This window comes from Homo sapiens, chromosome 1 (genome assembly GCF_000001405.40).
Source record: "Homo sapiens chromosome 1, GRCh38.p14 Primary Assembly".
Lineage (NCBI taxonomy): Eukaryota > Metazoa > Chordata > Mammalia > Primates > Hominidae > Homo > Homo sapiens.
Window position 1 is genome coordinate 96,351,446 of NC_000001.11, and position 16,793 is coordinate 96,368,238.

Here is a 16,793-nt window from a genome sequence, read left to right on the forward strand (position 1 = left end):
AAAATCCATCTGTAGGTTGGATTCAATCTCTAAGCCATAGTTTCTTGACTTCTGATCTAAGAGATCTTCATTTCGAGGTCGGTTTTCATCTTTTTGAAGCATTTTGGAAATATCTTTGTGAGATATGGCACATTCTGTTGGTGGTAAACTCTATTTTTGTTTGTCTGAAAATTTTTCTATTTTATTCTTTCTTTGAATAAAGTTTAGCTAAGGAATGCAATTTTAGGTTGACAGCATGTTCTTTAAGTATTTTGAAGACACTATGCTCTGTCCTTCTTTTGTCTGTGAGAAATCTGCTGTAATTTGTCTTTTCTTTCCGACCACTTGTAATACCTCTTGTTTGTCTCTAATGTTCTATAGTCTCTGGGATAGGCCTGATTGTGTGTTCAAAAGGAGATTTCTTATTATTCCTGTTTGAATTTTGGGAAGGATTCTTGACACTGAAGTTTTCTATCTTTTAATAATTTTATATATTTTAATAATATATATATATAGCAGTCTTTATTTCTTCAAACATTCTTAGTTATCAAATCCTCATATTCTTGCTCCTAACCCTTTGACATTCACCCCTACATGCCAAAATCTGTTAGCTGGATCTTGCTATTCTCTGCCTGATTACTTTTTGCTTGATCCTAAGGGCACACTCAGCCCAGGCACAAAGAAAATTCAAAGGGTGAATGACCTAATGTTTCCAGAAGCATCCTTTATTTAATGATGGATAAGAAATTGATAAATAAGCATCCCCAGCTTCCTTGTATCTTAGTTAGGATAACTCTGAAGCATGTTCCACCTCTGCTAGCAACATTCCCAGTGATACTGAGATTCAATTGTCCACAGTAGAAACTCATTTGATGATATATCATCTACTGACTTCTTTCTCTTTTCTGTCTAATTTTCCCAATCCTTTACTGATATATTCTGGGACCATCTACCACATAAACTACTTGCATTTGAATCCTTCCCTTGCAGTTAGCTTCTGGAGGGAAACAAAAATTTTATTTTACATTCACCATTTGATATTCCCTTTACATGATACTCCTGAATGGTACATTTGCTGTGTTTTTTTTCCCTCTTGATTCATGCTTTTGTTGGCTTATTACTGTGTGTGTGTGTGTGTGTGTGTGTGTGTGTGTGTGTGTGTATGTGTGTGTTTCTTTTGTTGTTGTTTAATTGTGAATTTATGTTTTGCATAATTTATTTATGAGACTCTTGCAAGATTTGGGTTTTGAATTTATCTGGGTTCTCTTAAAAGAGATTTGTTCTTTGCTTTCATCAGGCTTGCCAGAGTGTTATGAACAAAATTATGTTAATTATTTTAACTTGAATTTCCCAAACAATTTGTCATAGTGTTTTATTTGAATCCAGAAGTGGTTAAGGGAGCCAAGTCTCCCTGGGTGCAATTGGTTGGGCCTGGTCTCCAGAGCTGCTACGGCTCCCATGGAAAGTGTAGTAATCATAACAGAGGCTGGCAGATAAGGTGGTGGCAGCTGTGCCTGGTACAGAGGCAGCAGCCAGGAGTCCCACGAGGAAGCAGCCACCAGGCTCCAGAGGTGAGAAAGATCAGCCAAATATGAGATTGTACATAAATTGTGTCCAGTGCATTGTGTCAAAGGTATGAATTGCAAGAGGGGAATTTTCTTCTATCTGGAGCCCAGGCTAATATAGACAACTCACCTTCCCCAACCCAGCCCCCTGGCCCCTAGCTCACCTTTTCTTTGAGGCAATAGGCTTTCAAGTGCCTGTCTTTTCCAGGGGGTCTCAGTTCCAAGCCTTCATCTTCCACAGTCCTAGGACATTTTCTCCATTAGGCGTTGGGCCATTATCACCCAACCCTGGCCCCAGTGCATCCGTAGTATTAACATAAGCCTAGAAATGTGTGTTTCAACTCTCTTTTCAGTTTGATTTCTGGCAATTTCTGCTGATTTCTCAGAAATTCCTCCTTGTATTTATTCAAAAGAGCTTTTTGATAGCAATTTCAGCTCTTGTACATGAGTCTTTTGGATTTCTATCACATTGTCAGGAAACAATAAATATCTCTTCTTTTGAAAATATTTATTGTTCTATAAATTTGTCTTAATTTTATAATTAGAAAAAATATTTAAAAGCATAAATAACTATACAAATACATACATATATGCCACCCAAGAACTATGAACCAAATTTACATGAATAGTGGTTAATTTGATCAGAAATGTTAACCTACAACCACGGTTCTTAACCTTGGCTGCACATTTAAATTGACTATAGGAACTATTAAGAAACCATAATGCCAGGATTTCACCCACAGGAGGTCTTATTTTACTGGTCTGAGGTGAAGCTCAAACACAGATATTTTCATGAACTACTCAGGTACTTCTGTAAGCATTTCTGGCTAAGAACCAGAAATAGTCTAGACCCATTAGAGAGACTCCTCTGTAAGGAAAGAGGAGTGATTAGACTTAGAAAGGACAGGTTCAAATAAGACACAGAACTTTACAACTCAACATCAGCATGAGTGCCCTGAATGTGAGATCCAGTACTCTCTACAACTAGTGACTCTGATCTCCTAACTAGGACCTCCAGTCTAAGCTTTGGAATCAACCCAGTTCCAAATCAGTTTCCTTTCTTACTCCTATAACTAAGTCTCTTCCTTATCTTCTATTTAATAAAATGAGTTTCCGACACCTTCCCTTCAAAACAGTTTTCTGCTTCAATAACCTGTGTTATAATAACTATTCCAGCACCCTCTACAATTGGAGCTCTATTTGTATGCTTGTTGTATGCCCTACAGATTCCTACATTGTTGTCATTAAGAGCGCTCAGATTTGAAGTATGACCAACATGGGTTTAACTCCCAGTTCTGTCACATACTAGTTCTGTGACCTTGGGTAACTAACCTGACTTCTGTATGTCTTTATCCATAAATGGCTATGGTAATACTGCCTGTGTTATAGAGCTGATATAATAAGAAAATGTGATACTGAATGTAAGTTTTTTATTATAACACCTGGCAGATGGTAAACTCAAAATGTCATTGTTAATGTATTATTATTATTATTTAGTATCCCTTCCAAAAACCCAATTTCCCATGCTGCCTCATCTCATTCAGGGTAACTCTCAGGCTAGTCACTTCATAGTGCTTGACTCAGGACACCCTAACACCATCCTCCCTCTACTCCTACCTGCTCTGGCATCACCAGGTACCCCCTGACTTAGACCACCCATTCATTTATCCACTCAGTGTTTATTGAGAGCCTAATGTGTGCTAAGACCTTTGCCAGAGCTAGAAATACATTGAGGAGAAAAAACTGTCATAGCCTGGAATGTCACTTCCCACATCTTACCTTATGTCCTGCATGGAGAGACAGAAATGTGTGAATTTTTAAAATGTCCCCCTAGCTACTGCTGAGTGATGCGTGCTCACCTCATCCCCCACCACACACACACACACACACACACAAACACACACATACACACACGTACACCGATTATTGGTCCAGCTGAACATTTTCTCCCATGGTGAGATGCTGGTCTTACCATGCAAACAGGTCTTTCCTTATCATCCCCACTAAGTTCTTTTAAGATCTTCTAAAATTCTAGGCACATAATTGGCATAATATAAAACATATTAAAATTTGCCCACATCATACAATAAATACATAGTATAGTAACTTTGTATAAGTTGGGCTAAGCTTCAGTGAAGCCAGAATTATTTTTTGAAGTCTCACACCTCATTGTAGCTCTTGAAATCTTGTACGCCCTTGACACTTTGCCTACACGCCATTACCTTTGCCCACTCACCTCATCACCATTTCAATTCTCCTTCTGCTCTGACTTAGTTTTCTGGAAAGGGGAAAAAAAGAAATGGGTAGATAAGTTGCTCATAGGAAAATTAGAAATATTCAAATTCTGTCTTCTTTGCAATTTTGTCCAAGTCTCAGATAGCAACTGATATCAAATGCGTATATGAAAATATGCACATATATTTAATAAAAGGGAAACCTACATTCCCTTGTCAGTCCAATCTAGTGGGAACAATTTTCAGCTTTTATATAGTGCTCAACATTGAAAAAGTATCTTCATTTACTTAACATTATAAACAAAATATAATTATAATCCCATATGATGGCAAAATTGAAAATCAGAGAAGGAATATATCTTGCCCAGGATAACACAGGCAGTAAAAGGAGAGCTATGATCTGACCGGTATGCAGATGTGCTGTCTGGGAATCCCGTTTCCTTATTCTGTGACCAACTTCCTGCATAATGCACAGTGATCCCAAATAGAACAGGGCACCTCCCTCGGAGGGAGCATATGCATATGTGTTCTTAAAGTACGTCTTCAGTCCTCTCAGAGCTTTGAGACTATATCCCTAAAATGCAAGCGTCTGCTGATTCTAAGCCCTGACTGAAGTGGAGCTGCACCCACATGTGCCTATTCAGCGCCAGGATGCTGTTTTACTGCTGCTCCCCTGTCTTTAGCAGCAATCTAAGAACAAGGACCTCTAATCCCATATCAAATTTGCACTGCATCAAGGTCAGTATCTCTTTTTACCAAAGTAGTGAATGCATTCTTCACAGTTTTAAACCAAATAATAACCATTCCATACAGACTGGGTCTGACTTCAACATTATTGCTTTTTTTTAAGGTCCATAACTGTCTTAAATTACTGTTCCTTCCAGCATCAGCCATGCTGTAAAATTTTCAGGGACAAGCCTTTACGCCTCCCACCTCTTCCTGCTTCATTGTCAGTGGCAATTTTAATTCATTTCATTTCTGTGTCACTGTCACTCCAACTGCTGTCTTCAGCTCTGTGTGGTGTCCTGAAGTTCAGTGTTAATGTAGAAACCTTTGCTTTAATAGAAAAATCATGTTATTTGACTTTTTCTTTAACATTAATAGAGAGTCAGCCAAGGCCAGCTCCAAAATTCCGCAAAATAAAATTATTTCCAAATGCTAACGGACCTTTCACTGTCTTTGAAAGAGTGCTAGTGAGGCAAGAATTACCATGTACCTGAAACAAATAAGAAAACAAGATTTTAGGGAATAAATGGACTGGTTTTTCTGAGGTCTGGCTTTAGTTTCTTGCTTTATCGCTGATTGGATGGACCTGTAATTTCAGAAGAACATCTTAATCTAAGGTTCTCCCTCTCTCCTTCTCGACCCCTTTGTAAAAATTGAGATACAGCTATTGCCAGTTATTTTCCACTCAGAGACGCTTTAAGTTTCAACCCAGTGGGGAAAAAAAAAACAAGGTACAAATTGTTACTGCTGACAATGGATCTGATCTTGTAGTGAGCTAAGATGAACAAAATGCTCTCTGGGGAAGAGAAAGGTTCACCTATGTGAGGTAAATGAATTCTTCCACAGCTCTAGGGAACAGTGAGATTGCTGTATGGTATACTGATGCCCCAAAGAGTTTATTATCTTTATCCTGTTTGTGGATAACTTGCCCAGACTTGATATAGAACCCAGTCAATAATAATGTCTTTTTTGGATTTACACAGAAAAACTGGATACTATGTTTACTATGTTTAGTACTTTTTTATTTTTGTATCAATAAGTACCTTGTAGCAGAGGCACAGAAAGAGGGGCAGCTATTTATCAGAGCCAACATCTGCCCCCTCCTTGTTCCCCACCACAGTCTAGGTTTGTGGGAAGATGGTTACCTGAGTTGGCACACAAAATTGAAAATAAGGAGTAAAGAGGAAGGAAACAGAATAAATGTTGATAGTAGCATTTTCCCATCCCCAGATATCTTTTCCTTATTTTCTGTCTCTGTATGACAAAGGCATTAGAAAGAAGGAAATGTACCTTCCCTAAGGAAGGTAGGGGATTTATGAAATTGTAATTATTTCTGGTCAACTGATAGAGTTTCTGGTAAAAAAAAAAAATGAAAGAGATGACTCATATGACTTATGGTCTTTACGTTCTGTGATACTTGAGTCACTGAAGTAGAACTGAATGAATTGATCCATATTAGAAATGGAGTCTTTCCTGGAAAATTCAGCTATATGACTCCTTTACCTCTGACCTGTATCTGAAATTGAAAACTTACCACTTCTGTCTTCGACCTCTCTTTTCTTGCTGGAAAATATGCTAAACAAATAATTACATCATGGTAACAATAGGCCAGGAAATTTCCAAGCATTTGGCAAATTGTAAATCAGTAACTGGTAGAATGGCTGATACTAAAGTTTTCCAGAGTCTCCAGGATAGTCTATCCTTTAACTCTGTAAGCAAATAGCTTTTCCTTTTCAGACTCCACAATTTCCACAGTAAAACTGAAATTCTAAGAAAAGCAAGGTAACATTTTTTCTGTAATCTTATAGATGTTATTTTTTTTGTTTGTTCTCTCAAGAAAAATTTAACCCCTATTAGACATATGTTGAAATTGTAGATTTCCCACTTCCTATCCCACTCATCTCGGAAGTGTGCCAATTCTCAGATGATACAAAAATTTTATACCGCTGGAAGTCTTCACTTTAAAGAGATTCAAATGTTCTTTATTATTTTATGGCCTTAACTTGAAAATACAATGCAATAGAAAAAAATAGCAGCTACCAAACATTGAAAATAATTATTTTTCTGTTAGGAATTGTTTTTGCACTAAAAACAAATAAGTGTAAAGAGAGATTGGGATTAATCCCCCAGGCTATTTTTAGCTACAGGTAACATAAAACTCCAACTAAAGTCATTTAAATTGCCGAAAATTAATTATATCCCATAACAAAAGCTTGACAGCAGGAAATTCTGGACTTAATTCAGCAACTTAACAATGTCCGATTTCTCTATGATTTTCTCTTGGTTTTCACTCATGGTCACAAGATGGCTCCAATGGCTCCAACTATCACTTCCATACACACAACATGTAAAGATAAAAAGCACAAGCTTTTATTAGGTGTCTCTTTTTAAGGGTAAAGAAAACCTTCTGAGGTACTCCCAGGAACCCTCTTTCTTTTATTTAACTGACCGCAGTGCAGCACATGACCATCTTTTGCTGACATGGGAATAAAATGATTATGATTGGCCTCAACATTTATTCCTCTAGTTTTGAGAGTGATCCAGGAAGCACTTAAGAACCCAATACTTGAATAAAATAAAGATTTTATTAAGAGGCCGGGCGTGGTGGCTCATGTCTGTGATCCCAGCACTTTGCGAGGCCGAGGTGGGTAGATCACCTGGGGTCAGGAGTTTGAGACCAGCCTGGCCAACATGGTGTAACCCTGTCTCTACTAAAAATACAAAAATTTGCTGGACGTGGTGATACGTGCCTGTAATCCCATCTACTCAAGAGGCTGAGGCAGGATAATTGCTTGAACTCGGGAGATGGAGGTTGCAATGAACCAAGATCACGCCACTGCACTCCAGCCTGGGTGACAGAGCGACACTCCATCTCGGGAAAAAAAAATATATATATATATTAAGAATAATGAGGATGGGAGCTATTTACCAAAGGAGGAAAACAACAAAGGATGGGGTAATACTCTAGAGCTGGTAACCACAGGAGGTGTCACCACATCTAAGGCATGAAGAGGCAGGAAAAGAAGAGAAAAGACCATGAAGCATGGGCCATCCAGCAAAAGCTGTAGCCTGCCACAGAGTGAGGCAGCCACATGTGACTCCACAGGGAGCAGCCAGGAGAATGAATTCCTCAACCTAACTGTACTCCCTGTCTCTCATCCCCCCTATAGACAGAGCCTAACCAGAAGCCAGAGAACATGGGAACTCAATGATGCATCCTGTATGTCAGCCTCCTGGGCGCAGAGCAGGATTGTAAAGCTTGAGGAAGCTGGAAGATGGCTCAGGAGAGACAGCAGCTCTCCATCACATTCATAGAGCACTTACCTCATGCTAGGAAGTATGATAAGTGATCTATATGCATAAAACAGGGATTTCACATGACAACTTCAACTGGGTAAATATGCTTTTCACCACGCCCCCAGGAAAGAAATAGCAACATTGTTTTTAAAGATCCTTTGAGGAGAAATTGCTTGGGAAATGCCAAGGCTGAGTGGAGAAAGTTTGTAAGCAGCGAGGCCAAATATTCTGAACCTGAAAGACGGGGAGATACCCCAAACCTGGGAAGGGGTGGGGGTTTTGACTGGTTTTGCAGGTAGTGAAGATCCACACCTAATTCAGTTTCTGCTCTCTCAGAAGATACAAGGCCTTGGAGTGAATGGCTGTGTGCTGTGCTAGGGGCACTAAAAGCTGAACCTCCCAGTCTTAGCAAAGGCCCCTACACCCAAGCTTGACACAGAACTAGCAGAGCCTCTGCTATTAGAGTTGAACTATAAGCATCTAATAGCAACTACCATGGGTTGAGGAGTTGAGAATTGTTTTCCTTCAAGACACAATATAAGACTCCTAGATTCTTTGGAAACAACTATCTGTGGCTAGAGGCAAAGAACAAATATGAATGATAATAGCTGTCTGACTATCCTGGTGAATGGCTGCTCATAGTGAGATTTAGTTTTTATTTAGAAGAATCATATGACATTTCTTACACCCAAGTGTGATAGGATAAAATCAATATCCTCAATACTTGTATCATCTGCTTTATCCTATAAAATTTGTGAAATAAGAATTACTTTCTCTATTTTATTGATAGTGAAAGAAAGATTTAAAGAGTCCAAATAACTTGTGTATGATCATTCCACTGAAAAGTGGCTGACTGGGACTTCCATTTGCCACAGTGTGCTCCAGAGCCTCTGTTCTCAATCACTATTCTATTATTACACAAAAGTGACTGGTATGGAAATGTGGTCATCTTCTCCAGGCATCATGGAGCATTCTGTACAACATACCAGGTAATTTCATTGGCTAATATTTGCTGCTACTGTACTTTAAGTAAATAGCAACACATTGAATCATTGTAAACATTATCCCACTTGATCCTTACATTTGATTCCTGCCAAGTAGCCAAAATGTTACAACCACCACCACCATTCATCACCATTTTACAGATGATGAAACCAAAGTTTTAAAAAATAAGGAAGGGAAAAAAGGAAGGAAGGAAGTAAAAAGAAAAAAAAGGAAAGGCTACCTAACTTGAGCAACTAGGAAAAGAAGCAAAATCTTTTGACTCCTAGTTCTGTATTCTAATGCCTCTCTGCTTTAAGCACCACAAATTTTAAAAAGCAAAAACCAAAACATTGGTTTCTCCTTCCTACAGCACAGTGATTCAGTGTTTGTGCAATGAGACTGAAAAGGCAAAGAGCTCTGTATATATCAGTGCGAGAATGCCAACAGACTGCTAATGGAAGTTAGAGAATGGGTAAATGTCAGACAAGGATCAGTGACTCTTTGAGGATCACTTACCTTTTCAATACAGATCAAAATCCTTAGTACAAACTACTAATATGCCACATGTGTCAGATTACCCCTCCATTCCATCAACAATATCAATGGGGTGGCCTATCTTCCTGTCCTGGTAGCACTACAACCCCAACCTTAAATACTGTATCTACGATGTAAGACTTTTCTTCTGGGCTGTGTTAGTGAAGCATGGCAAACATCTTTCTCTCTTCTTCTCTATTCCTTCTCTTCTTGGATTAATTATCTCAATTGATGCCATATTAAGTCTCACAATTTTCCAAGAGTAAAATTTGGTTAATCACCCTTGAAACTTATTTTCCATAATCCCTCAGAGCCAATCAGCCAGTATCAAGTCTATGCCCTCTCTGAAATGCACCTGAAATCAGATCCTTCTTATTCTTTCCCCACTACCATTATGGCTATCCCCTTAGTCCATGCTTCTATTTTTCTCCTGCCTGACCCTGGTAATAGACCCCTCTCTGATCTCTCTACCAGTAATCTCCCCACACTAATTTATTATATATGCTCCTACCAGAGTTATATTTATAAAAGAATGTTTTGATGACATCTGTCTCTTGCTTAAAAATGCATTCAGTGACATTCCCCTATTCATTAAAACTCAGTTCCTTGTCAGGGCCCGCAAGGCCTAAATGACCTGATTCCAACTTCCCTTACCAGCCCTTTCTCCCTCCTCTTCTACTCTAACACTACTAAATTCCTCTTAAGAACCTGATTGTATAATTTCTATGTCCTTACATATATACGTCATTTTTTTTGCTTTCACTTCCCTCTCTGCCTTACATTCTTCAACTTACGCCTTGAAATGAGCTTAAATATTCTGTCCTCCATGAATCCTTTCCTAACCACTTAGGCATGGTTAATTAGTCCTGTGTCAGGATTATAATATCACTTTGGCATTGGACTGGGGATAGCAGCTGGAGCTTAAGCTGTGTTCATGGTGGGATCCAGCTATATCCAGGCAAGGCTGGCAGCCTGGAGCGGAAAGATCTGTAGAAGCTATTTGCACTAGGAACGAGGGGCCTTGAAAGTATCAGGCCCAGACACTGACCAGAACCAGTTTTGTGAGAAGAAATGTTTTATGCACAAATGGGGTCTGTTCCTCAAATATTTCCCCGGGTCCACAATAGCCCTAAACTCCTATCTGAATCCTTGGGAATGAGGGCTGCAAAAAATATATATACTAAAAAACTATCTCATTGGGAGCTCAGTGGGCCACTAAAAACAGGAGCACAGATTGTTTGGGCACAGCCATGAAAAGCAAAAGGCACTTTCCTTAGGTTCATATAGAAGTAGTTTCATTACTGTTTGGATTCATTGAACTAGCTCTAGAAAGCTTGATGCAGCTTTAGAAATGGTCATGCTAGAAATGTTCATTGTCTGCCCCTCTGTGGGGGAAGTGAGGAGGGAAGAAGGGTTAGGCTGCAGAAACTCATCCCTGTGGCTATGGGACAAGAAGAGGTTTTAGCAGCAGGCATCCCAAAAGGGAAATAAAGCAAGATAAAAAAAAATGTGGAGATTGCCACATTTTAGTTCAAAAAACCATATTAATGAACCCAAATGAAATACACCTTAGAGACCTTCATCCATTCATTTACCACTTGTTCATGAGGGTCTACTCTGTGACTACATCCTACCAGGTCCCAAGGACATGGCAGAGAATAAGACAGACATAGGAAGGTGAAGGTAGATCATAAACCAGCCCACAAATAAAAACCAAAGGGCGTTTTAGGTATCCATGAGTTTAATAAAAAATTAAACACGTTGATGTGATTGAGAGCTGGAGTCAGTGTAGGTCTCACTGAGAAGATGCTACTAGAGCTGAGATTTGAAAAGCAAAAAAGAATCAGCCTTATGAAGATCCTGAGGGAAGAACATTCCAGGTAGCATTAACAGCAAGGGCACAGGCCTGAAGATCATAATAAGCTTGGCATTTCAAAAACCCAAGAGAAGGTCATAGGGGAAACCACAGTGTGTGAGCAAGTGAAAGAGTGGTAGAGGGTGATTCATGAAGATGAGTAGGCATTGAGTCATGGAGAAACTGTTAAACCACATCAGGCATTTGGACTTTATTCTGTGTGCAATAGGAAACTACTAGAAGGTTTTAGCTAGGAATTGCCATGATCTGAATTTTGTTTTTGTGGCTTCACCATAGTTGTTCTGTAGAGCCTGGAATGTGGAGGGAAGTGGCAGCAGAAGGGGAAGTGGAGAGATCAGTCTAGAGACTATGGCAGCACTTCAGGAAAATGATGGTGGGTGCTGAGACAAAGATAGCAGCACTGGAAACAGAAAAATACTTAGTTGACTTGGGACATACTTTGCAAATAACAGTAGACAGGATTTGCTGACATGTTGGATGTTGGGGTGGAGAAAAGAACAGAATTAAAAAGACTGCATGGGGCCGGGCACAATGGCTCACACCTGTAATCCCAGCACTTTGGGAGGCTGAGGTGGGCAGATCACTTGAGATCAGGAGTTTAAGACAAGCCTGGCTAACATAGTGAAACCCCATCTCTACTAAAAATACAAAACTTAGCTAGGTATGGTGGCTGGCACCTGTAATCCCAGCTACTCGGGAGGTTGAGGCAGGAGAATCACTTGAACCTGGGAGGCGGAGGTTGCAGTGAGCCGAGATCGTGCCATTGCACTCCAGCTTGGGTGACAGAATCCACCTCAAAAGAAAAAACAAAACAAAACAGAAACAGAAACAAACAAAAACAAATGAACAAACAAAACACTGCATGGTTTCTAGCTGAAGCAACACTTAGAGAAATGGCTAATTATTGAAAAGGGGAGAGAACTGGGAATAGGTTCAGGGAGAGGGCTATTTATTTTGTGACCTTTCAGAAATTCAGAGGAGATGTCAGGTAGGCAATTGGATTAAAAAACAGTCTGGAGGTCGGGAGAGAGGTCATGGCTACAGAGTTAAGTTCAGAAGCCATCAGAATATCAGTAATGGAAACAGTCCCAGAAATAAGTGAGGGAGATCTGGAGAAGCAAACGAAGGTTTCACAATCTCACGGAGTGTTATTTGCAAGATAATATTAATGATTTTTAGAGAGACTTAAGGGGATGCTTATCAAGAATGGCGTGAACTGTATAAGGCACCGAGCTTAAATAACAGAGATCTAAAGCCAGAAAAAAACTTGTCAAATCTGCACTTATCTTTTTTCTTCCTATAACTTCTCTAATCTGTGATTTTATAACTCCTGAATATCCTCCATGCCTTTCCTTGAAGATGCTGCTGTCATCTGCATTCCCTTTCACTTTCAGACTTCTGTGGCATCTCCTTTTGTGATTACAGTAATATCATCAGGATAGAGTTGAAAAAACTAGAATTTATTTATTTAATGAGTAATATTTGTGTGATTTGAGAAAGATATATGTAAAATGATGAAGTGTCATATTAGTGAGCTATTAGGTTGCTGCAAAACTAATTGCAGTTTTTGCCATTACTTTCAATGTGGAATTGGACAATAAGCAATTAAAAGTAATGGCAAAAACTGCAATTACTTTTGTGCCAGCCTAGTTTCTAGAATTAAAAAAAAGGTAAGGCAAAATTTTAGTAATCAAAAATTATCCTTGAAAATCTTCCAAATTGTCCATCTAAAGCAGAAACCTTTGTATATCAACCCTATACAGATACAAATTTCTCAAGAAGTCCAAAGAAGACTGATTTTGCTCCAGCATTAATACAAACTAGTTCTGTGGTCGAGTACCAGATAAAAGCTGTGGTTGTACCAAAGAATACTAGCAGGTAGAATTGAATTCATGAATGTTCCGAGTACGTATGAAATGAGTTCACATTATAACTAATACTAGTCTAAGCTTCTTTCTAGCCAGATATGTAGATTCTAAAGGGGGGTCTTCCAGTGGTAATGGAGGGGAGCTTTGTGCACTAGGTATCAAGGGTCCTAAGAACACAGAAATGAGACTGCTGAGAACATATGTTCCTGATTCAGGAGCAAAGAATGCATTTGCTTATTATGGAATATGAGTGGGGTAATGTGTAAGAATTTGCAAGCCACAACACAGGATTAATGTCAACTTTACTTATAATTTCCTAAAACAAATTATATGTGTTTTGAGTTCCTATTCCAAAAAGCTGGCAATAAATTCAATCTTTGTTATCACTGAGTTTGCTACACAGACTCTAAGATCTGCTACACAGACTCTGAGATCCCCAGAGCCAAGCCCAGTGCCTGTTTCCTGTTCATGAAGTTCATTGCCTGTATGCTCACTGTTCAAGTCAACAGGTGCTCTTTAAGAATGGGGACTCCAATATGTCTTTGTCAAGATCAAAGTATCCAAAATTTCCACTTGCACCACAGATTTCATCAAAGATTCCACAGCCACCCCAAGCAGATAAAATGTGCAATTCTTTTAGAAACTGTAAAGCCCAGGGCTGGCCTCCCCTTTGCCCCCACCCCTCTCCATAATGATGTTTCAACCTCCAAGCTTTGGCCTTGACTTCGCCTGCATTATGGCTCCTTGCAGCAAAGATCCAGTACAATATTGAGGTTGGGCTTTTAAAAACAAAACTAGTTTGTTTTTTTTGGCCCACAGTACAAAAGACTCCCAGACAGGGAATCACAAAGACTTGGTATATAGGAAGGAAAATACATGCAAAAGAAAGAAGGTTACAGTAAAAATTAATATTTTTATAGATTATCCTGCTACCATTTCTATGGTAGAGGGAAATGGCTTTACTGGATGGGGATTGCAAAGTATTCTGCAAATATGGAAAATAGATATAATCCATTAAAACCACAAACACGTACAGATCCAATGACTTGCTGCAAATTTAGTTCTTCAAGTCAGTCTTGAGTTGTCACATTGCTTATTCCCATTTCTAAAGGACACTGAATTCAAAAAGTCTTCTTAAACAAGTTAGAGGACATTGTTCTTACTACGTTATCCAAGAATACAAGAGGCTGCAGCTACCAAAAGACAGTACTGGGACTGGCAAGAAGTTAACCACATTTTCATGCTGAATTTGATGGAAAATTGGATGCATTCCAGTCTGTTTACAGTTTGGGTGGGAGGGACAGATTTGCCAATAGCACATTTAGCATGTTGCAGCATAGTTTATCTGTCTGCAAATCTGTCCATCCCACCAGACTATCTCTGCCTTGAGAAGTGGAATCCTGACACACTCATTTCCATAATTCCAGCAAGTCTTATGGTCTGGCATACAAAGGGCACTCAGTAAGTGAAGCCCACTACCATGATTGGGAAAAGGCTTTTTCCACTTAGTTTTCTGTTTGTCATGACACCCCTTCTGCAATTAAGGCCGTCATTTATTGCTTATACTCTACAATCCATTGACTCACTAGACTGGGGCCAATTTTTGGGAGCTCTTCATGACAAAGTCAGCCATGCTTCAGCCCCTTGGCTGTTCTCCCTGCAGAGCTATTCCAGAAGCTACAGAGGATGCTTTTTTATCTCAGACCTTCTGTTGCTCTCTGGTTGTCTCTGGTTAAAGAATTCTTCTATAATCCCATTAGGATCAGCTTTTCTCCGTCTGTTCCTTATCATGAATCATTATTAGATGAAAGACAAAAATCCTATCACTTTAGTTAACTGGGTCACTAAGAACCATATGAGTCCTGTGTTCCTGTTCTGAAAGCATAATTAAAGCCCTGACTAATTAGTATTAAAGTAACCTTAATTAACTAACCTAACTTACCACTAATCAAGGGAATGGGTCTTCCGAGAGATCGTGGATCATTTTCTAGTCAGTACACAATATAAGTTAATATACATACATACCCCTACGGATGCACTCATTAAAAAAAAAATTAAAACTCTTCATTGTTGGGAGTGTAAGTTGGAGGTTACTTGCTTACTTGCTTATTTATTTATACTCTGCCTCTTCCCACAAAGGATTGGACTCAGAGGACATTATCTTGCATTTGTACTGCAGAGCTCTTGCCATGATTATGAAACAAGAAGGTATTTAGCATGCTCTTTACTTGCTCTGGGTTATTAGTAAGCCCATGATAATTATGTTACCAAAGTAATGTAGAGGCTGCTGTATCTGATTTCCACATTACAGATAGTCCCTAGTCATCTATGTGACTTAGCTCGCATCACTTTACCTCCCTGGAACCCAGCTTCCTCATCTATATAATGAGGCCAGTTCAGTCATGCACCCCATAATGACATTTTGGTCAACAACAGACCACTTTTATGACAGTAATCCCGTAAGATTATAATGGAGCTGAAAAATTTCTATCGTCATGGTGATGCTGGTGTAAAGAAATGTACTGTGCTGCCAGCCAAAAATATAGGTTAGTACATAATACTTGATAATGATGATAAGCAACTGTGTTACTGGTTTATGTGTTTACTGTACTATACTTTTCATCATTATTTTAGCATATACTCCTACTACTTATTTTTTAAAAAGATAACTGCAAAAGATCCTCAGGCAGATCCTTCAGCAGGTGTTCCAGAAGAGGGCTTTTTTGTAAGGGATGACAGCTCCATGCATGTTATTGCCCCTGAAGATCTTCCAGTGGAATAAGACATGGAAGTGAAAGATAGTGATAATCATGATCCTGACCCTGTATACTCTTAGGTTGATGTGTGTATCTGTGTCTTAGTTTTCAACAACAACAAAAAAGCTTAAAAAGTATACAAAAAAAACCTTTGAAAATAGAAAAAAAGCTTAAAAAATAAGGATATAAAGAAATTTTTCCTTTTTTGTGAGACAGAGTCTGGTTCTGTTGCCCAGGCTAGAGTGCAGTGGTGCAATCTCGGCTCACTGCAACCTCCACCTCCTGGGTTCAAGTGATTCTCATGCCTCAGCCTCCAGAGTAGCTGGGATTACAGGCGTGTGCCACCATGCCCAGCTAATTTTTTGTATTTTTAATAGAGACAGGGTTTCACTGTGTTTGTCAGGCTGGTATGGAACTCCTGGCCTCCAGTGATCTGCCCACCTCAGCCTCACAAAGTGCTGGGATTACAGGCATGAGGTACCTCGCCAAGCCAGAAAATATTTTTGTACAGCTGTATAATGTGTTTGTGTTTTAAACTAAGTGTTATTACCAGAGTCAAAATGTTTTTAAAAAAGTAAAAGTTGATAAAGTTTAAAAGTTACAGTAAGCAAAGGTTCATGTATTATTAAAAAAGAATTTTGTAAATTTAGTGTCGCCTAAGTGTACAGTGTTTATAAAGCCCACAGTAGTGTTTAGTAATGCCCTAGGCTTTCACATTCACTCACCACTCACTCACTGATTCACCCAGAGCAACTTCCAGTCCCACAAACTCCATTCATGGTAAATGCCCCATACAGATGTATCATATTTTGTTTTTCATATTGCCTTTTAGTTGTTTGTTTGTTTGTTTGTTTTTGTTTAGACAGAGTCTATCTCTGTTGCCCAGGCTGGAGTGCAGTGACGCAATTATAACTCACTGTAGCCTCGCATTCCTGGGCTCAAGTGATCCTCCTATCTCAGCCTTCCAAGTAGCT

General features: G+C 39.1%; 1 long non-coding RNA gene across 1 annotated transcript in view, besides 1 other annotated feature; it reads right to left on the reverse strand.

Annotated features, from left to right (window-relative positions):
- Window positions 1–16,793, reverse strand: part of LINC01787 (long intergenic non-protein coding RNA 1787) — a 120,057-nt gene that overhangs the window by 97,377 nt on the left and 5,887 nt on the right. Inside the window, exons 2-3 of the long non-coding RNA NR_110693.1 lie at window positions 3,781–3,822; window positions 1,709–1,787 (exon numbers count right to left, since the gene is read on the reverse strand). This is a non-coding gene — a long non-coding RNA (long intergenic non-protein coding RNA 1787). The remainder of the gene's footprint in view (window positions 1–1,708; window positions 1,788–3,780; window positions 3,823–16,793) is intronic.
- Window positions 11,290–12,489: an enhancer, noted in NCBI's record as "P300/CBP strongly-dependent group 1 enhancer chr1:96828291-96829490 (GRCh37/hg19 assembly coordinates)". NCBI's record gives its function as "activates an origin of replication core promoter dependent on BRD2, BRD4, P300/CBP, MED14 and CDK7 cofactors, with strong dependence on P300/CBP, by STARR-seq in HCT116 cells {active_cell/tissue: HCT116}" and the evidence as "EXISTENCE:reporter gene assay evidence [ECO:0000049][PMID:35650434]".